We start from the raw sequence: 22,277 nt of genomic DNA, 5'->3' as shown, positions 1-22,277 counted from the left end.
CAAAAGGTTTGGCAAGAAAAAAATGTTAAACAAAGTGGTTTTCTTTTTTTTTTTTTTTTTTCAAAATTTTGATGAAACATTATTAAAGTATTAGTCAAAGAAAACTAGTCACAATTTTGTATCTTATGCCAATTTTCTGATGTAAAGAATTGGTATTATGCTTCTTACATTATGTTTAGAACTTTTTTTGGTCAAAATTCTTTAAAAGTTTTATCTTTTATATACCTATTTAATTTTATTTATGGAGTACAGGGTGATGTTTTGATATAGGTATACATCATGGAATGATTCTTAATTTAGGTAAAAGATTTTCTAAAAAAGGAGAAAAGGAATGTAGGTAGCACTTTAATAACATAACTATACTTAATAAAATGAAAGAAAGGGAAGATGAACTGGAAATTTTTTGTTTTTTTTTTTCTTTCTTCTTTTTTTTTTCTTTTTGCAATAAAAACTGCATCTCCACTTGAGCCCTGGAGATCTAGGCTGCAGTAAGCTATGATAGCACCACTGCATTCCAACCTGGGTGACAGAGCCAGACCTCATCTCTAAAAAAAAAGGATGACAATAACAACAACAACAACAAAAACCCCTGCATCTCTCTAGCAATAGATGTCCCTGCAAAAATAAAAAGCAAAAGTTGTTCAAACAGATCTCAAAGTTATGAAATAAGAGATGGAAATCTTTGAAGCTGAAGGCATCAGAGGAAAATATTTGGAAATGGGATTATTACCATCTCTTCATCACCTCACCAACTGGTATAAAGTCAGAAACAACTTTTTAGCAGCTGGCTCACTTAAATCACATGTATAGGTGATTTAGCTGCAAAGAATAATGAACATGTTGGATTTTAAAATATGTTCATAGGCTGCAGTTGGAACTCAATAGTAATAAGACAAAATTGAGTTCTTTGCTTGGGTGCAAATATTAATAGCTAACTGTATGAACCAAGAGATAGAGACACGAGTTAGCAATAATATGCAGTAGACAGAAATTGTGTTGCTTACAGATTTTTACTTTCCCTTCTACCTTGATGATAAAATCTGGATTTTATTTGGAGCAGCAATGTGTTAGAACTGTATTTGCCAGCATCCCATGAAGAAAGGTTTGGCCATGAGATTTAAATGGAATTTTTTGCACGTAAGTTTAAAGATAGCTATTTAAAGGGTATTTACTCATCTAGAAGGTGTGTCTCTTTTGCTCTTGCCCCTCCCGTTCTTCCTGCCTGGAACACAGATGTAATGGCTGGAGCTCTAGCAGCCACATTGTGTCATTGATGATGGACATGAATAAGGGTGGCAGAGGAGGAAGGCAAGGGAGCAGTGAGTCCCTGATGACATTCTGAAGCTTCTGTTCCAACTCTGGACTGGACTACCACAGGAATTTCTTTATATGAAAAAATAAGCTCTTAACTAGTTATGCCTCTAGTTGAATATCTGTTACTAGCAGAGGAGCTCAATTCCTGATACTGATCAGCAATATAACATGATTATGAAAATGATCCACCTGATTTGAGACTGCATTAATAAATGAATTATACCAGGGTTAGAGTAAACAAAACAAGACAAAAACATGAAACAGCAACCACAAAAACTGACGGATGCCAGGATCTCCTTCTACCACAGTACTCCAAAAAAAGGCAAAAATTATTTTCTTTACATCTTCTGAGGGGAAATGATGTTGGGCTGATCCAGAATTGGAGAAATCAAAGAATATGCTTGGAGGGTAAAGACAGAAAAGGCTGGTCCTGGGAAGTGGGAGATTCTGCAAACCTGAGAAGGGAATGGAGGGATCTTTGCTTTATAGCACCCTGGGGAAGTCACAGGATTGTGGAAAGAAATGACTGTACAGTGCACTGAGGAAGGCTGGGCACCCAGCATCAAGGGTTTCATTTTAGCTTTGGCAAAGACCCTAAAGCCCAAGCCTCGAGTGAAAAGAGCAGGGTCTCCTGTCTTCACATGGACCATACAGGACTTGGACAATGAAACTCTCATGGGGGATTATGATGGCCTGAAGATAAAAGCCACATTCCTCAATTTCCAGGACCCACATAATGCCTTCTCAACCTCAATCATACTTTCATGTGACCCTAAAGAGGCAATACTGGATAAAGGACATTGAATTTTTCATTAGCATGGTGAGACAAGGTACACGGTTAGATTTAATTTGATTTAGAAAAGTACAAGGACTTTTCTACATCTGTATATGATGAAATAAAATTGCTATTTTTGCAGTGTGATATCTTTCATTTAAAAAAAAGGCAGTGACATATTGGCCACAGCACTTCATGAGAGACCAAAGAGCACAAGGAGAGAGTGTGGTAAGTAAAGCTGATTGCCTTCAGTATGCATGTCCCTTTCTTCTAAAGCAACAGTACCTCCAAGTTTTAGGAAGGCCTATGGCTCCCTAGAACACATTTCATTTCCCAATTTCCCTTCCATGTGGGTGCAGGCATGTAGCTAAGATCAATGAAACAGAAGCAAAGTGGCCGCTTCTGGACACACTTCCTAAGGGACCACATGCATCCATCCACGGTTTTGCCCTTCTTTTTTCCCCTTCCTCTACCCTGCTGCTTAGAACTTGGGTGCTACCACTTGGATCCTGAGATGCAAGTCAAGTAGCAGAGAGCAACGAGCTGGCCAGAGCCTGGGTCTGTGGTATTATGGAGCACCACACTGGAGGTAAATCACTTACCTGAAATTTTACACAGAGAATTATACTCCTATATTGTTTAAACCACTTGATGTTAGGTTTTTGGTCATTTGTTGCAAAATCTAGCTACAGAGGTTAGTTATCTAAGTACAGAGGTTTGAGGGAATTCACAGTTATGTCAGGCCAGGTATGATGGCTCACATCTGTAATCCCAGGACTTTAGGAGGCTGAGGTGGGAGGATCACTTAAGCCCAGGAGTTCAGATCATCTTGGGCAACATAGTGAGATACCTTGGTTCTATAAAATACAAAATAAAAAATTTAGCCAGGCATGGTGGTGTGTGCCTGTGTCCCCGGCTACTCAGGAGGCCAAGGAAGAAAGATCACTCAAGCCTGGGAGGCGGAGGCTGCAATGAGCTATGATCTCACCACTGCACTCCAGCCTGAGTGACAAAGTGAGAGAGACTCTGTCTCCAAAAAAATTCAATTATGTCAGAGTGTTGAAGGAGCAGGGTCTACTTGGCCTTAAAGGACAGATCACTCAGAGGGAGAAGGTGGCTGTTTTTTAAAACCTGAAACATCTTGCAGAGCACAGATAAGCATTATTCTGTGTGGCTCCAAGGGGTAAATCCAGCACTATGGAAAAAACATTCTAGGAAGATAAATGTGGGCAAAATATAGGATGAATATCACTTTTGATACCTTTTTGATACTCTTATCAGTATCACTTTTAATTGAGGCCAGTTTCTGATCTGGACACTGTAATTGGCTCTATTCCCAGATATGACTGGTTATTTTCATAAAACATCCCTTGGATTGTAAGCTCAGTGTGGGGAGGGACAGCATCTCCCTCACTTACCATAGTGCCCAACCCTTAGCCAGTGCTAGATAAAGATTTGTTATGTGGGATAAAGGACAAAGCATAACTGGAAGGCGGAGTGGCAAGAGAAGAGATCTTTGAGGACAGTCCTTCTCATAGCAGCAAGCAGAATTTCATTGCTATTTAAATTCAGCTCTTTTTCTTGTTTGGTAAAGTCAAAGCAAAATCTACATAAATAAATGAATCCAAGAACGAGTGGCCATTTTCGTATAACAAGTATGGGATGGAAATGATTCTAGGGAAGAAAAAGAGAAGTTCATTTGCTTTCCCCAATATATGTGTACATATGTGGAAATACCTAAAGAGAAACACACCAGGAAATATGGTATAAGAACTTCACCAGCATTGCTTTCAGGTATGTAGACATTTCAGCCACATTTCAAACTATGCCATCTTGGTCCCATTCAGAAAATTTGAACTTTGCAACTAAAACTATATCAGATGTTTTGCTCCCAATCAATTTTCTTTGCCTTCCTTTTATCTCAAAAGCTAATTCAGGTGTGCCCTGCTTTAAGAGAGCCAAATACAGTATACTACAACCCAAAATTGACAACCTATAAATTAGGAGAATTTACATTACGAAAAGATTCTGAATGGTAACTTCTCAGGAGATAGGCAAACATTGAAACTAAAGTCATTTTATTAGAATAAAATCAAAATATCTCCGAAATTATGATGTAAACCAATGAGAAAACACTATTTATTTATTTATTTGAGAGAAGATCTCATTCTGTCACCCAGGCTGGAGTGCAGTGGCACGATCACAGTTCACTGCAGCCTCAATCTCCCTGGGCTCAAGTGATCCTCCCACCTCAGCCTCCCAACTAGCTGAGAGGAAAACATTATTTTAAGGACACCCATCCACTTGAGACATCCTTAATAGACCAATCAGTGCCAATAGAAGTGACTAGATGTCTTTGGAGTCTGGCAAGAAAGAAAAATCTATGACATGCATGGCTATTGTCTAAAGGGAATCCTCCCTGTGTTATATTGGAGGAAATTATTATTTTACATAAAATTGACTTATAGAAAACAATCATGGTAACAACACTTTTCCATGGTGCTTTTATATAAAGAGTCTTTTGAATCAATTATTTGGCCTTTGGTCATTCATTCATTCATTGGTAAACATTACTTAAAGCCCAGTGTCCCTGAGCCTAGGTTGGGTGCTGGGCATTCAAAGAATAAGTTATGGAGATACTTTTGAAAAGTCCATTCACAAACAAGTAATCATACTAGCTTGGGATGAGTGTCATAGAGTACAAACAGTCCTATGATGAGTGCTCGAGACTACAGATGGTTGCAGATGGTTTGAAGTATGATTTTTCTACTTTATGATGGTACCCATGCAACCATTCTGTTTTTCACTTTCAGTACAATATTCCATAAATTACATGAGATATTTAACACTTTATCATAAAATAGGCTCTATGTTAGAGGATTTTTACCGAATTGTAGGCTAATGTAAGTATTCTGAGCATGTTTAAAATAGGCTAGGCTAAATTACGATGTTCGATGTTCGTCAGGTTAGGTATACGAAATGCCTCTTCACATCAGCGTCAGCAGATGGGTCTTGGAAGAACAATCACTGTCCCTAAGAGTTTTCATTGTATCCTGTAGTAGCCATATTGACTGTGGACTATGAGAAAGTTTTTGCCTTTGGATCATGCTTGGCTTCAGCAGAGAATCTGGAAAGAAATAAGAAATATCTTTTTAAAACTTAGATGTATCATCCTAAGATGGGAGAAGATAGACTAATCCAAAGACAAGGCTGACCTGAAGACTAGAAAATGAGAATATAAAACTTAAGAAGTGAAACTTTTCTACCATTAGGTTGGATATGGGAGATAGAAACCAATATTTCTTGATTATCTCCTGTGTTTTGGGCATTGTCCCAGGAATACTTATAAAAGATGTTCTGCATGGTAGCCATGATATGAATACACTCCATTCTCAAAGATACCAAATCTTAAGTTAAACCAAGTGTACTAGATGTGAGAGCAAGAAGATAGCAGAACCAGATTGGGAACTAAAGTATGTTTCGTGCCAAAGCCTGTGCCCTTTTCCTGAAGCTGAAAGTAGACTTTCTCTTTCTAACACTATAGAAAAAGACTACTTTCTTCTCCATAATTCTAGAAGTCAGAGCTGAGTGGGGGGACTCTATATGTCTTTTCACATGTTCCCTGTCAAGAGAGTATTTCTCTAGAGTAAGAGCTTCAGACTGAGACCCAAGTGATACAAAGGGCATACAGGTAATTGGGACAGATAGAAGAGATTAAACCTTTGTCTATGGAAGAGTAGAAAGGAGAGTTGGAGCATCTGCCACCCTGCACTGGGGTGGCTTCATGCAGGGAGCGGGAGCTGGACATGTGGGGGTTGTTGTCTGGGGGTGAAGCAAGGGGAGGGCAGGCAAGCTTTGGCCTGGATGGGGTGGGGAAGGCAAGGAGTGAACTAAGCAGGGGCCTCAGCCAGGAAAAAGAATGACTTGGTCTGACTGATGGGTTTGGAAAGAAACTGGGCATGCATTGACCAGCCCTTCCTCTTCATTTTATTTTTGGGAGCTGCTGATTTATGAGAAGACAGCATATTGCCTTACTTTTTCATGTTACAAGTTTTGCAGGGACAGACCTCTTCTCCGGGGAGAATTTACGGTTGCCAAATGCAGCCTCTGACTGGGTTGGTCAGTCTGTCTCATTCTGCAAGCCAACTTGCTGATAGGGGAAACATTGGCCAACATCAGCATCATCAGTACAAATATATTTTGTATTCCTCTCTGCCTTACTCTTTTGTCTTATTTCTTACTTGGTCCAGAATTTAAGTGGGAGAAAACAGTGTGTTATTAACTGGGCTGCCTCAAATTTCAATAATGTGAATAGGAGGAAGAAGCAGGGTTTGGGAGATATAGTGGATTAGGTGCCACAGGCAGGAAAAATTTGGATTCACTACTGGGCTGTGATGCGGAGAAAAGGCATTGCAGTAGGAGGAGCTGAGAGGTATACAAGCTGCATCATCTGCACTCTTCTCTTTTGGAGAGGTTGATTCTGCATGAAGGATCTCCCCTAAGACAGGCAAGCAGAAATTAGGCTCAGCTTAGGCAAAAATGGGAGCAGAGAGTTTCAGATTAACGAAGTTTTGCTCCAAGCCTAAGGAGATATGTTCTTTTCTCTTCAAATTCATTTTAATCTGCTATTTGCCATCAGAAGTCCAAGTAGAAGGAGACAATTCAATTCATTTATATCCTAGGTTATTAGCTACAAAACTCAAATCTGTTTGGCTCACACAGGGGCCAGTTCACCAGGGCAGTTCATTACAAAGGGATTTGAGATCACAAAGGGTCTAGTATTTGGACAAAACAAAGTGTCATAAGAGAAGGTGGCTGGTCCAACAATTCGGGATCTAGTTCTCTCCTCTGGGGTAAGTAGGCAAGGGAAGAAAAAATTCCTGCCTTAGCTTCAGACTAACCAAATGTTTTTTTCACAACCATCCTCAAATACATGTGTACGTGTGCCCACACACACACACACACGATTGTTTTAGCTATATAAATAACATATGCCATTGTCGAAAAATGGTAAGTTGACAGAAGAAGGAGAAAAATCCAAAAGTATCTATTAGGATCATGTTTGGCTGCTACAATAAGTCTACAGGAAATAACATGAAGATGGTGCAGCAGCTCCACGATGCCTTCAGGACCGACCCTCCATCCCTCCCTCCCTCCCTCCTTTCCTTCCTTCGTCTTGCTCTGTTGCCCAGGCTGGAGTGCAATGGTGTGATTTCAGCTCACTGCAACCTCCACCTCCTGGGTTCAAGAAATTCTTCTGCCTCAGCCTCCCAAGTAGCTGGGATTACAGGCTCCCACCATAATGCCCAGTTAATTTTTTTTTTTTTTTGTATTTTTGAAGAGATGGGGTTTCACCCTGTTGGCCAGGCTAGTCTCAAACTCCTGACCTTAGGTGATCTGCCTGCCTCAGCCTCCCAAAGTACTGGGATTACAGGCATGAGCCACTGTGCCCAGCCATAGGATGCAGGCTCTTTCTTTTTTTTTTTTTTCTTTTGAGACAGAGCCTCACTCTGTCTCCCAGGGAAGTGCAGTGGTGCGATCTCGATTCACTGCAACCTCTGCCTCCCAGGTTCAAGCGATTTTCCTGCCTCAGCCTCCCCAGTAGCTGGGAGTACAGGCGCCCGCCACGCCCAGCTAATTTTCTGTATTTTTAGTAAGGACAGGGTTTCACCATGTTGGCCAGGCTTGTCTCGAACTCCTGACCTCGTGATTCGCCCACCTTGGCCTCCCAAAGTGCTGGGATTACAGGTGTGAGCCACCATGCCTGGTGCTCCATTTCACCATTCTTATCATGAAAGCCTCTGCCTCACAGCTGGTGCCTCTTTGTTCACAAGATGGCTACTGCAGCTCCAGGCCTCATATCCTTCTGTGGCAGGAAGGAGAGAAGCAGTGCCCCCCTCAGTAATTGAGAGAGAAGAACAGATCACAGAATGGCATGGAGAGTTGATACATATGCTTTGAAAAAAGTGTAATAGTTTCAACTGGGTGCATAACTAGAAAAGAGAAGGTTCTCATTTTGTCAGCTGGGTGTAAAATTGGAGGAAGCCTTGGTGCTTTAACCTGGGTGACGGAACAGCACACGGGTTACTAAAAGAATGGAACAAAAAGTTTCAAAGGAACTTTCTGAGGAAAGGGTAGTGCCTTTATCAGAAAAGTTAAAGCTTTTTTTGAAACTTTTGCTTTAATTCTCATTAGCCAGCACTTTTCGCATGGTCTCCTAGCTGCAAGGAGTTCAGGAAAGCGAGTATTTTTGGCTGGGCCCCTCGCTCCTCTCAATGACATCAGAATTTTGTTGGTAAGGGCAAGGAGGAAATGACCACTGGGTAGGAGAGTTAGTGCTGCCTCTGCTTCTGGCTCAGCCTGTGTTCTGCCTCCCCTTCCCATTCCTGCGTCACCCACAACCTGTTCCATTCTCTCGGTAACCCTGTGCTGTTCTGCCACACAGGTGGGAGCACCAACGCTTCCTCCAATTTTACACCCAGCTGACAAAATGAGGACCTTTCTCATTTCTAGTTATGCATCCAGTCAAGACTATTATACTTTTTTCAAAGCATATGTATAAACTCTCCATACTATTCTGTAACCTGTTCTTTTCTCTTAATGACGTATTGTTAGTGGCTTTGACAGAAGTTAAAATCCATTGCATCTCAGCTGCACAGCATGCTTCCTTGACTCATATTTACCATATGCCATACAGTACTAGAGATGCCAGGGACAGACCCCGAACAAGACCACACAGTCTCAGCTCTCATGGAGCTGATATTCTAGTGGGAGAAGACAATGAATAAATAAATAAGTGAATACATGATACAGCAGATGGTGAGAGGCATTAAGGAGAAAAATTAAGCAGGGCAAGCGAGATAGAGCATGTTAGGAATGGGAGGAGTCTCATGTCGTATGTGCAATGGTCAAGGAAGGCTACATTGATAAGCAGAACCCCAAAGAAGAAAGAGGGCACGTTGTGTGCATTTCTTGAAATTTTCCAGGCAGGGGAAACAGCAGAGGCAAAGGGAGCATGCCTGGTACGCTAGAGGAACAGTACCAGGGCTTTTGTAACTGGATCAGGGTTAGCAGGTGAGAGTGTTCAGAGGTGAGGCAAAGAGATAGCAATGGCTGCTCCAGATATAGTCAGTGCAGCATTTTTTAATCAATTGCATTGTATTTAGTTATTTCGTTGGACATTCTATTTCTTTCCAGTTTTTCATATTTACATAGATTTTTAAAGGTTTAGGTCATTGGTGCCTACATGAAAATAAGAATCGATTAATCTAGTTTTCTGAGAGGAAATTTTAAGTACAACTCACTTCATTTTAAAATAATGAATGGTGAGGCTTCAGTGAGCTATGATCACACCACTCACTGTACTCCAGCCCAAGCAACAGAGCGGGAACCTGTCTTTAAATAAATAATAAAATAAGATAGTATACAAGTAGTGGGGTGGGCAGGGGAGCATACCAAAACTCATCTCATTTGCAAACAAAACAAATTTTAAAATATGCTTAATTATCTTAGCATGATGAGTAGAGAAAAATAGCAATAAATAGAGGAAGAAAAAGGAAAATAGGAACAACAAAGTAGAGAAACACAAGGAATAAAAGGAATAAAGTTTCCTGAAGTAAAAGTTGTTAGTTCTACCTTTTGCTGCGTAAACCCTTGCCCCCCTCACCCCCTTAAAACCATTTTGTTAAGCTCATGGTTCTATGAATCAGGAGTTCAAGGAGGACGTAGTACAGATGGCTGGTTTCTGCTTCACAATACCTGAGGCTTCAGTTGAGGTGATTTGGACGGTAGGAAATAACGGGGCCAGATCAACTGGGGCCATATAGCTGGGCTCTCTGTTCTGGATATTGTCTGGGTTCTTTTGTTCCCCTTCATATGGCATCTTCTGGGGCTGGAATGTCCAAGATGGCTTCTTTATTTACTTGTCTGGAATCCATACTAGGATCCAGGGTGGCTAGAAGAGCTTTCTCCCTACTCTCCCCCTAGCTCTCCTCCCCACCCCCACCACCACCCACTTCACTCTCTCCAGATGACTAGCTTGGGCTTCCACACAGCATGGGAGTCTTAGGGTAGTTCAACTTGTTACACGGTGGATGGCTTTCAAGTGGCCAGGGTGGAAGTCACTGGTCCTCTGAAGAATAGGCCTGGAGTTGGTATAGCATTACTTCTGTCATACTCTCTTGCTTAGCCCAGCTTTTGCCCATGCAAGGTCCATGGCTGTGGTTCCATAGGCAGATGACAAACAAGACCAGACTCAGGGTCATTCTGGCTCACAGTCCTGAATTGTCCACCTTGAACCTCTCAGCCACATCTCCTATTTGGTTATCCATTTATTTATTTATTTTTAGACAAAGTCTCGCTCTGTCACCCAGGCTTGAGCGCAGTGGTGTGATCTCAGCTCACCGCAACCTCTGCCTCCCGGGTTCAACGATTCTCCTGCCTCAGCCTCCCAGGTAGCTGGTATTACAGGTGTCCACCAACACACCCAGCTAATTGTTGTATTTTTGGTAGAGACGGGGTTTCACCCTGTTGGCCAGGCTGGTCTCAAACTTCTGACCTCAAGTTGTCTGCCCACCATGGCCTCCCAAAGTGCTGGGAGTACAGGTGTGAGCCACTGCATCTGGCCTGGTTACCCTTTTTCAGATCTCAAAGGTACTCTTAGTCGATAACAAATTACAGACTATCTCTATAATCTTTAGAAAATACTAATTCTTTTTGTTTGTTTGTTTGTTTGCTCTTTCTTGGTGATGTGCTATTTTTTTTTTTTTTTTTTTGCTTTGCTTTTAGAGTAAGTTCATACGTGCAGCCTTGTAAATGGTAACTTGTCCAAGGTAACAGTCGCTGCCAGGAGAGTCAAAGGGAATGTTGATTGTATTTATTTTACTATCTGTGTACTTCCTGAAAGAAGGGCAGTTTGATAAAATACAGTGAAGCTGCTCTGTTTGGGGCACTTATTTGCAAGTCTGCATTAGCTAATTCCCTCCAGACTTTTGGATTCATGTCATCTGGACCCACTGTTTTGTGTATGTTCAGATTTTTCAAGTATTCCTTTACCTGCATTGACAGAGCATGTATTTGACAGAATAATATTAAAAAATATAAGATGGCAAGCAGATGGTCAGTCTTGACTGGAAAGAGATCTTGTTGAAAATGGTTTGTGAATGCAGACCATGTTTTTGTTTACAGGAATGTCCTTTTAAATATTTAGTTTGATCAGCAATGGAGGTCTTGAAAGAAAGAGCTCAATGCCTGCAAGAATATGTTAGTTGATATCCTCTACCTGAAATAATGGCTTCCTTAAAAAAAGTAAAAAAGTAAAGAAGTTTTTTATACTTCTTGCTGCCAGATGTCTGTATTGCTACCAAAATCATGGAGGTGAAAAAACCTTTTCCTGATCTCCATGCCTGATGCAGCTCTGTTTTTTCAAAGAAGAAAGGCATGGAGTTCAATCTAGTGAAAACAAGAGGAGGAAAAAGAAAAATAAAATGGAAAGACAAAGACTCATACCAAGCAGAATTTCCAAGGACCTCAAGTTTAGTTTCTTTGTGTTGGGAAAACAGGTTGGAGAGAAATCTGGGCTCTGCACTGATACTTGAAATAAGAACACTAAGAACTGTTCTTTAAATAAGAACAGTTTCTTATTTGAAGAATAGAAAGACCAATTTAAAACTCTGGGCACATTGCACAAGTTGCAAAGAGAAACTTGGTAGAATAATACTAGAGTTTTTTTCTACAAAGACTAATTTTTTTTTTCCGTGGATGCCAGTGTCCTGATAACAGAAAAGAATATAGATCAGTATTTTGGCAGTGACCCCTAGTACCTTTCATTATTCACACAGTCAATTCTAGTACCCTCTTGCCATTAATCTCTGGCTGTCACCACTGAAAACACAAGTGGAGAGGAGTTTGTCCAATGCCATTAGAATGTCAGACCCAATACCCTGCTTTCCAGTCCTTGAATCCCCATTCCAATTGCTAAGACATAGGGATAGGGTGATATCAACAGAGCAAGCCTGGAAATTGCTTATATCTATTAGCCACTATATGATGCCGAATATTTTGAAAAGGTTGAATATTTTGGGAGAGTGGACCTTCTATCTTTAAGATGCACATACACTTAACCTTCTTTGTCTCATACCAGGATACAAACCCATGTACAAAAGCACCTACCAGCCTCCAATAGCCCTATGCCATTTTGTGTCTTCAGACATCTTTCTTCTATTTCTTACAGCCTATGGTATTTTCACTCATTTTTCTACACTTACTCTTCTTCTCTCTCCCTTTCTTTTATACACAGCCAAGTTCTTTCTTTTACATTCTAGGCCATACCTCTGTTAGGAGTTATGGCTAAGCCATTTTAGTGGTTAAAATGAAATCTTGTTTTTAATGTTATCACATTGAAATGTTCAATAACTAATTCTCCAAAAAGACATCTTAAAAGATTGTTTTCCTTTACATGGAATAAAACAATTTATCATTATAAAGCTATGGGGGCTGGGAAATATGGCAGCAGCTTCATATACCTGCTTCCAGATAAGGCTGGTTTTGGCATCCGGATAAGTGGGTGTCTAATGGAGAAGGAAGATTATTTCATAAGAGATAGACCAGTGTGAAGAAAATTAGTCAAGTAGTAAGTGATTGACTACCGATTCATTAAAAAACCAATTTGCCAACAAAACAATTTTCAACATTATTGACTCACCAAGAACTTGTTGCTTTGTAGTTCTTGGCACAACCACTTGAAAAATTCCAAGCTTAAAACCATTGAGTATCTTCACACTCCCATTTATATCAGTTCATGACTCACAGTCACAGGCATACAAGCCTCTCCTTATCCATGTATAAAAATATTCCTAGTCCATACTTGTAATGCAACTCCTTTCTCTCCCTGTCAAGAAAGAAAATCTGTAAATTGTAGGAGGCAGGAAAAGCGAGAGATTGGTTTCACTTCACTAAACTATTTAAAATTCACTATACTATTTAAAAAATTCATTGAGATGGATGATATGCCTGATATCTGAATTTTTTTAAACCCAAGAAATTGTCTTCCTCCAAAGTAAGCTATATATTGAGCAGCCTTACTGAAACACACATTCCTGTTACTTTATTACTTGTCAGAACAAAATTATGAATCATTAAATGGGCAAATGAGTCATAGGGCCAATTCATCTATTGACAAATTGCTATCACCTGAAATCAACTTTGATGAATTCATCTAGAACCATTTTAAAGATTGTCTTTTAAGCAATTCTGGAATGTATGCATTTTTTCTCTCCAGAATTTTTAAGTTCATTCTTTTTTTTTTTTTTTGAGACGGAGTTTTGCTGTGTCCCCAGGCTGAAGTGCAGTGGCCAATCTCTGCTCACTGCAAGCTCCGCCTCCCGGGTTCATGCCATTCTCCTGCTTAGCCTCCCGAGTAGCTGGGACTACAGGCGCCCGCCACCATGCTCGGCTAATTTTTTTGTATTTTTAGTAGAGACGAGGTTTCACCGTGTTAGCCAGGATGGTCTCGATCTCCTGACCTCGTGATCTGCCCGCCTTGGCCTCCCAAAGTGCTGGGATTACAGGCGTGAGCCACCACGCCCAGCTCCCCCTTTTTTTTTTTATCAGTAGACATGCCAATGAGCTGATTTAAACAGTGAAGTTATTCATCAATAAATACTTATTAGGTACCTAAGATAAAATATTTTGTTAGACACTTACAGGTGAAGAAAAGAAAGGAAATACTAATGAAATAGGTGATGAAAATTCTTCTCTTTGCTGACTCAGAAGACAAAATATTCATATACTGGCTGACTTGAGAACAATTACAAAACATTCTATCAACAAGTTCACAATGGTGCCACACAGTGTGATGTGCCGACAGCTCCGACCTCCTGCTGGGTCATGCCCATAATCCATTCCCAATGTCTACACATGAAACTCATCCTTTTTCCTCAAGCATGATGTCTTTTTTTCCTTCCAAGATAAAACTTCTTTCCCATTTTCAAATCATAAGATATTCTTCTCCCCAGGCAAATCATTTTAAACCATACAGGTATTTTTACAGTTTTTGTTGTTTGACTCACATATGTCTGTTTTGATTTTAAATTCAATAGGAAAAAAATCTGAATGTAGTATATTTCCTAACATAGAAAATACTTAAAAAATACTAAGTTAATATTTTTAAAAATATATTTATGTATATACATGTGTAGATGATGATTTTAAGCAATACATCAGGGATCAGATGTCTTTAAACATCTACTTTTGAAATCCTTCTGGTATTCAGAGAAAGCTTGGCCCAAGTTAAAAGACCAGGTGACTAACCAGTCAGCCAAATAAGATCTACAGAGAATACAGGAGGCTTAAAAAAAAAAAAAAAAAGAAAAAAAAAGCCTGTCGTTTCAAAAGATGAGTTTTCTAATTTAAATGCAGCCAAAGTTCCCAAGGATGCAAAAAGAAATCCAGCCGGTGTCAGATCCCAAGGTTTTGGGCCTCTGACATTATACATAATTTTTCAGACATGCACCTTAATTACTAGGAAATACTTTAAAAAATAACCAAAACATTACAACAGGTCCTGAGGCATGGGAAGAGAGTCCAAGAACTGAGCAGCACAGTTCTCCAGGGTAGTGACCACATTTCCTCTATTGTTTCATATAGCAGTGTGCATAAGGTTGATGGGCAACAAATAAATTAATAAAACATTCATGACTGGAGGGAGTTTTCATAGAAGACACAAAAAATATTTTACAAATACTGACAAGCAAAATGGTACAATTATGTAGTTCGATTCCTTTCAAATACTCGTTGATGTCAGTATAACCAGACATGGCCCACTTCCACGTATTCAGCCTTAGCTGCCTTTAGAGACTATTCAAAATTTAACTAATGCACTGGATTCATAGTTTGCTATATTTGAGCGTCAGCATACTAAGAATTAACAAAACAGAAATGTCTGTTTTTCACATACCTATTGCACTCCAAGATTTGTTACAAGTCCACATCTGCTATCCGGGTCCTACCTCATATACTTTATTTATGAGAAAAAAAACATATATAATGCTGAATTTTTAAATCCTTGAAATGCAGAGTTGGAAGAGCCTTTAAAGATGTTCTAGTCCTGCCATCCAAGTCCAAATTCCTCCTCATTCAAGTCTAGACACAGAGATTCATAGCTGAACTGCAGCATCCATACATCTTTGGTCTGCCTAAAGCAAGGGTTGGCAAGCTGTTTCTGTAAAGGGTCAGAAAGTAAATATTTTAGACTGTGTAGACCATACAGTCTTAGTTGCAACTACTTCTGTCTGCCTTTGTAGTATAAAAACAACCACAAACAACATGTAAACAAGTGAGCGTGCCTGTGTTCCATTAAAATTCTATTTACAAAGACAGTGGGCAAAATTCAGCCAACCTCTGGTCTAAAGAATTTGCTGTCAAGCATGGAGCATCAAGATGGGTGGAAAAAATAGCCTAAATAATGCAAATAAAATACTCATGATGAATATCAGCAAAAGCTGTCCCTGGCTTTTCAGTCCAAAGGACTCAGATTTTTTAAATAAATTGAGCTTCTTACTAAATACTTTTGTTGGGCCTTATTAAGTAAAGTTCACCTTCCTCTACTCCACCCCTCTAGCCAACCCAAAGATAAAAGAGAGAAGCTGCCAGGCATGTTGGCTCATGCCTGTCATTCCTGCACTTTGGGAGGCCAAGGCGGGTGGATCACTTGAGGTCAGGAGCTCGAGACCAGCCTGGCCAACATGGTGAAACCCCATATCTACTAAAAATACAAAAATTAGCTGAGCATGGTGGTGCATGCTACTCAGGAGGCTGAGGCATGAGAATCATTGAAACCGGGAGGCACAGGTTTCAGTGAGCCGAGATCGCGCCACTGCACTCCAGCCTGGGTGAGAGTGAGACTCTGTCTCAAGACAAAAAAAAAAAAAAAAAAGAGAGAGAGAGAGAGAAGCTAACACATCCAAGCAATCATTTACATGCATTCTGGATATTCTTAAGCGTGATGTTATTTTAAAACAAAATTAAATACACTGTGGTTGATAAGAAAAGAATGTTATAACTTTGTCCTAAGTGGATGGCACCCAATCATATGCAGATAATAGAGGTGATCTATGAACACTGGATCTGGAAGTAAAGGCAGTGCTCAGCTCCACATGGAAGATCACATGGGGAAGCTGATGTTGAAATGAGGGACAGCACGGCCTATTACAAAGCCCATGAGCTGTGGCATCAGAACCATCTGGATTTGGATTGTTTCTGCAATTTAGTGATTCTGAAACACTGGATATGTTTCTTAATTTTCTTGAGCCTAGAGTACCTCATATATAAAATGGAGATAATAATATTTATTTCTCAGGATTGTTAGGAGGGCCACATCAGGTAAGTCCTGCAAAGTACCTAGCACAGTGCCTGGCACACAAGAAACACTGACATTCTATACAGAAAGAATAATGACTGCTCTGTTATAAAACTTAGCCAACTCATCACCATTTGGAAAAATCTGCAACCTGGGACAAAACAAACAAACAAACAAACAAACAAACAAAAAAACACCTAACTTTTAAGGAAATGACTTGCTTCTATATTTCCTGAGGAAAATGTCAATGCTTTCACCTTGCTAAGTAATAGTTACAATCAAGAGCTTAGAGAAAGGCATTGAACTTAGCACAGAAGTTACCTGTTTCTCTCACTTTTACCTTTCCTACAACTCTTTGGCTATTCAATGAGGTTTGGAATTAGCCAGAGTTAGCCATTTAAGTTTCCTTTCAGGTGAGAACTCATGACTCAGTAAATAGAGATTCCAGAATGTTGTATGCTAACGAGGTCTTCAAGTGATCAGCAATGAGAGGAAAGTCTTACTTGTTTTCCTTTGAAGGCAGCCCTAAGACCACCCAGGAGCTTGTGACGCTCAAGAAAGTAACAGCATGTTTATGTAGGAATGTGAGCTGCATAGAACATGGAACACCTGTACTCTGTGGCCTTCACAGACCCAATTAGCTTCTGGAAAGAATTCAGGGTAGAAATCCTTAATGGGATGCCCCAGAAAGTGCCTCAATTCTGAACACCGAAATAATTTCTCCAGCTCTGCCTGCTGTGTATAAAACATATTCACTAAAAACTACTTAGTTACCCAAGGAATACCACATAAGAATCTTTGACATTCAGAAAAGAGACTTGACTTATTTATTATGAGAACTTACAGTGTTGTTACAGGAAACCTATTCGGGGCTTAATTGGAGACTTTCAAAATCCAGAGCCATTCAAATAGAGAATTGGCTGTCCTGTTAGGTAGCAAATTCTCCATGATGGAAGTGATGATCTATCAGAGATATTGTGGAAAGTATCCCAGTAATGGAAGGAAGAAAGATTTGGCTAAATTGTTTTATTCTTGTGTATTTATTTAACAAGCATTTTTGAGCATCTAATATGATCTGGTACTTTTGAAGTTCTGGCACATTGATAAGGGTTAAGAATATAAAGGAAAACATAATGACATTTTTTCCCTTAAAGGACTTAAATATGAGATGGGAAGATAGACAGGATAGCCAATGAAGACTGTAGAGCAGAGGTGCTACCCTAAAGAAATGCAAAGGTAGAGTACCTCACCTAGCAGATAATGATCAGGGAAGGGTTCCTGGAACAGCTGACACTGAACCTCAAGGGGTTAAGTAATGTAAGTTGGTCAGATGGAAGAAGGAAGCAAGAAGCCATTCCAGGAGAAAGAAACGACATAAACAAAGGCACAAGAAGGTCACAGAGATGAAATAATGCTTCAGCCAGTTTAGAGGATGTCATTAGTGGTGGATCCCGGGGCTCTGTCATCAACCTGTCCCATTCATTTTTGTAAAAAAACTTGTGTGTACAGGGTCCCTAATGAAAACTGTGAATATGAGTCTGAGATAATACAAAACGCATTTAAATAGCAAAATCAAGACCCCAAATAGGACACAGTAGGAATTTAAGAAATAATGCTGAATCCATAACTCTTGGCAGGGTGATTAGATGGGTGCAGAAATACAGTATACGGGAGAACCGGGCAAAGAAAAGCACATGTAAAGAAAGATTTAGTAATCCGAGGTAAATAAGGCAAAGCTGTTAACATGTTAATCTTGGTGATGAGTTCGTGGATGTCTGCTATATCATTTTCTGCACGTTTAAATAGTTCATAACTTTTAAAAGCACTTGGGATTTTGGTAACTATAATACAACAATAGGATTTAGTTGCCAAAATTCAAATGCAATTTTTGGCTGGCGTAAGGGAAGTCAGAATTCAGAAGGAAAGACGTGTCCATCTCCTCTATTCCATGCTGACCTGATCCCATGTGCACAGTCTGAACAGTCCAGGACTTTATACTTAGGGGCACATGTTCAGCTCTGTTCTGAGGAGAAATACAAGTGAGTAGGGGCTCGAAACTATGTTCTATGAGAAACATTTGAAGGAATGATGGTGCTTCGTGTGGAGCTGTCTCAAGAATTCTAATCACTGTCTTCAAAACGCTTTCCTGGAGACGACACGAGACTTGCTGTATGTAGCTTTAGAGGACAGGCCTACAGTGGTATATGTCATAAGTGTGTTTAATGGACACGCATTCAATTAGATGAGCTCTGCAAAAATAATCTTATTTTTAGAGAAAAATACAAGTAAGTAGTGTGGGTGGCTCCTTCAGCCATTCTGCTTAATGAGTGTATATGTGCCCCAGAATGAGCAGGAAGCAGGAAGTATGAACTCTCCCATCTCAGGTCCATTTTGCCTCTCTTAGCATAAGTATCTCCCCAGTATGAGTGTAATTCTAGCTTTGTAAAATTCATATTTTTTTAAATGCCTCCATCACCATTATGCAAACCAACTACATTTTCTGCTTTTCAACCAAAGAAACAGTAATCAGTTCCAACATGGGCAGGAATGCTGGCTAACAACTCATAGGCTAATAATGGTTGGGTTGCTTTCCTGAGGAACTTTCAAGACCATGTTTGGCCATATTCAGTTGCTGCCTCATGTGGCTTTAGAACCAAACCTCTTGCAAAAGATACAACTTCACAATAAAACCAAATGTTAAAATTGCAGGGAGAATGGTTTTAGCTTAACCCAAGGAAGAATCCTTTAACACCTAACTTCTTTGAGAAATTAAGAGGATTCTCTCTGACATCAAAGATATTTAAACAGAAACTAGATGATAGCTTTTCTTTGCAGATGGGACTCAGGGATTTGACAAGAGAGGTTAATCAGACTCAAACTAGCTGATCTCTTACAATCTTGAGGTTCTAAAATTCTGTGAGGCAGTGTTTCTGCGCTACCTACAGTGGGGTCCATAAGGTGTTGTTCTTAATTTCAGATTCCTGTCATGACTTAAAGAGAAACTTTCACAATGTCTGGAGCCCTTGATGTCCTGCAAATGAAGGAGGAGGATGTCCTTAAGCTCCTTGCAGTGGGAATCCAATTAGGTGGCACCAAATTGACTTCCAAATGGAACAGTACATCTATAAAAGGAAAGTGATGGCATCTACAGCATAAATCTGAAGAGGACCTGGGAGAAGCTTCTGCTGGCAGGTCATGCCATTGTTGTCATTGAAAACTCTGCTGATGTCAGTGTCATATCCTCCAGGAATACTGGCCAGAAGGCTATGCTGAAGTTTGCTGCTGCCACTGGAGCCACTCCAATTGCTGGCCACTTCACTCCTGGAACCTTCCTAACCAGATCCAGGCAGCCTACTGGGAGCCACGGCTTCTTGTGGTTTCTGACCCCAGGGCTGACCACCAGTCTCTCACAGAGGCATCTTGTGTTAACCCACCTGCCATTGCTTTATGCAACACAGATTCTCCTCTGTGCCATTGGACATTGCCATCACATGCAACAACAAGGGAGCTCCCTCAGTGGGTCAGATGTGGTAGATGCTGGCCTGGGAAGTTCTGCACATGCGTGGCACCATTTCCTGCAACACCCATGGGAGGTAATGTCTAATCTCTACTTCTACAGAGATCCTGAAGAGACTGAAAAAGAAGAGCAGGCTGCTGCTGAAAAGGCTGTGACCAAGAAGGAATTTCAGGGTAAATGGACTGTTTCAGCTCCTGAGTTCACTGTTACTCAGCCTGAAGTTGCAGACTGGTCTGAAGGCATGCAGGTGCCCTCTGTGCCTATTCAGCAGTTTCTACTGAAGACTGGAAGGCTCAGCCTGCCATGGAAGACTGGTCCACAGCTCCACTGCTCAGGCCACTGAATGGGTAGGAGCAACCACTGAATGGTCTTAAGCTGTTCTTGCACGGACTCTTAAGCAACATGAAAATAAGGTTGACAGAAAATAAACATCAGTTTCTAAAAAATAAAAAATAAAATTCTGTGATGCAAAGACCAGAGTCATCCTAAGTCCATGGCATAGCTCATATCACATTGTTGCTCTTTCCATCCTTCTTTCTTTAGATTTCTCATTTTCTGATCTTTTGAAAACAACTTGCTCTGTCAAGAAGCATTTTCCAATTTATCTCAGTTCTAATGTAATAGATGGTAGAGTACTGTTGGTACCCAGGAATGGTAACTGTTCCTGAATTATTAATGATAGCTCCATTAGATCTTAACTTCTTTTTTCTTAGTTCACAGCACTCATTTTGCAGGGAATTTTTACTTTTTCTTGTGGCTAAATCTTAGGAACTCCAGATCCCAGTTTAGATGGTTTCTTTAAAAGTGGATGTTTAAACATATGAAATTATTAGGACCAACAGCAAACTCCCAGTAGAAGGGGAGAACTCAGGGTTGGAATTACCTATTGGTGAATAAGAAAAATCCAAAACTTAGTGGCTTATGATAAATCTTTTTCTCTATCACACAGATCTGCAATTTGGGCAAGGCTCAGCAGGGACAGCTCAGCTCAGATGCTGAGGATGACTTCTGGAGCCTAGAGTCATTGGATGGTTACTCACACACAGTAACCTTCAGATGACTCCAGGCTCCAGGAGTGGTAAGTGATATCAGCTGACCAGAGGGACCACAGCTGGGGTGGTCAGCTGGAACACCTACATGTGGTCTCTCTCTGTGGCTGCTTGGCTTCCTCACAGCATGGTGACAGGGTCCTTAGAGCAACTGTCTTAAGACAGCCAGGTAGAAACTAGATCTTTCTTTATGGCCTAGCCTTAGAAGTCACATAGTGTCACTTCCACCATAGTCAAAGGCCCTCTCAGGTTTATGAGAAGAGTGTCAACATCAAGTTGTAAGAAGAGTATGTATGATAAGAGATCTACTGCAGCCACCTTGGGAAGTACAATCAACCGTGAAATGGATGATTCATTCGGAAACAAGAAGACTGAGAACCTTCTCAGTTTGACTGTTTGCATTCTGTGTTTAGAAAAAAAGTGCATGTGTTTCATCTCCTTTGATCTGACATTAATCTTGCATGTAGGGTTTCAAAAGTCTATGGATTTTTTCAGGTGACTTGGCTACTTGACTAAAATAGATGTAGGGAAGGTAAAACAAGTGCCTGAATTTAAGGTAAAGAAAGCCATGTGCAGACATAAATTTGATGAATAGTTTGCTATGGCTACATTAATTAACAGCATTGCCGTCAACACTAGTCATGTAAAAGACCTCCTTTCTCCCACTTGTGCAGACAGTTGGACATATGCTGGGGTTCTGTACTCAGAGCAGAGCAAACATGCCACAATCACAAAATGTAAGAATTAGCACAAGGGACTAGAGAAAGGAAGATTCTGACTAGTTTGCCCTCACCTCTCTGCTCCGTTTCTTAAACTTCTGTCACCACCGCACCCCGAACTACCTAGCCAACAAAATAAGAGATCCAACACGAACCAAAAATTTGCTATCTAATTAAAGCATCTAAACATTGTTTTAAATCCCAGTATAGTTTTAAGTGATGAGTGGGCTCGTTGCAATGTGCACATGTGCATATGTATGCATGTAAATGGCCAGTTGTTCTCAAACTTTGCAAGGATCTGCCAAGGACTAAATTTTTTAAAATTCTACATTTGGAGGCTTCCAGATGAATGGTTTCCCCTGGTTCACTCAAGCAAAAGAAAGGAAGGGAAGAGAAGAAGGAGGAAGGGAAGGAGGGAGGAATGAATAAGAGGACATAGAGGGAAGCATTCCCTAGGGATTTTGACATTGAATTCTCCCTACGCAGATACATTGCTACTGTTCATTTCCAGTGTTTCTCCAAATAAAAGTCATAAATGTGGTGAATG

The 22,277-nt window shown here is 40.3% G+C and overlaps 1 pseudogene across 1 annotated transcript in view, besides 3 other annotated features; it reads left to right on the top strand.

Moving 5' to 3' along the window:
* RPSAP52 (ribosomal protein SA pseudogene 52) overlaps nt 1-20,434 on the top strand; it is a 68,955-nt pseudogene extending 48,521 nt beyond the window's left edge. Inside the window, exon 2 of the transcript NR_026825.2 lies at nt 19,423-20,434. The product of NR_026825.2 is annotated as a ribosomal protein SA pseudogene 52 (transcript). The remainder of the gene's footprint in view (nt 1-19,422) is intronic.
* Nucleotides 12,751-13,045: a silencer, noted in NCBI's record as "tiled region #15140; HepG2 Repressive non-DNase unmatched - State 22:ReprW, and K562 Repressive non-DNase unmatched - State 24:Quies". NCBI's record gives its function as "represses a minimal TATA promoter and a strong SV40 promoter by Sharpr-MPRA in HepG2 and K562 cells {active_cell/tissue: HepG2 | K562}" and the evidence as "EXISTENCE:reporter gene assay evidence [ECO:0000049][PMID:27701403]".
* Nucleotides 16,648-17,208: an enhancer, noted in NCBI's record as "OCT4-NANOG hESC enhancer chr12:66155026-66155586 (GRCh37/hg19 assembly coordinates)". NCBI's record gives its function as "activates a minimal SCP1, AML or CMV promoter by ChIP-STARR-seq in naive H9 embryonic stem cells {active_cell/tissue: H9 hESC(naive)}" and the evidence as "EXISTENCE:reporter gene assay evidence [ECO:0000049][PMID:30033119]".
* Nucleotides 21,148-21,197: an enhancer, noted in NCBI's record as "active region_6609". NCBI's record gives its function as "activates an Ori minimal core promoter by ATAC-STARR-seq in GM12878 lymphoblastoid cells {active_cell/tissue: GM12878}" and the evidence as "EXISTENCE:reporter gene assay evidence [ECO:0000049][PMID:35858748]".

The sequence above is a fragment of the Homo sapiens genome, chromosome 12 (assembly GCF_000001405.40).
Source record: "Homo sapiens chromosome 12, GRCh38.p14 Primary Assembly".
NCBI classification, from domain to species: domain Eukaryota; kingdom Metazoa; phylum Chordata; class Mammalia; order Primates; family Hominidae; genus Homo; species Homo sapiens.
The sequence above is the reverse complement of the archived record's forward strand: the minus strand, read 5'-3'. Positions and strand labels throughout refer to the sequence as shown.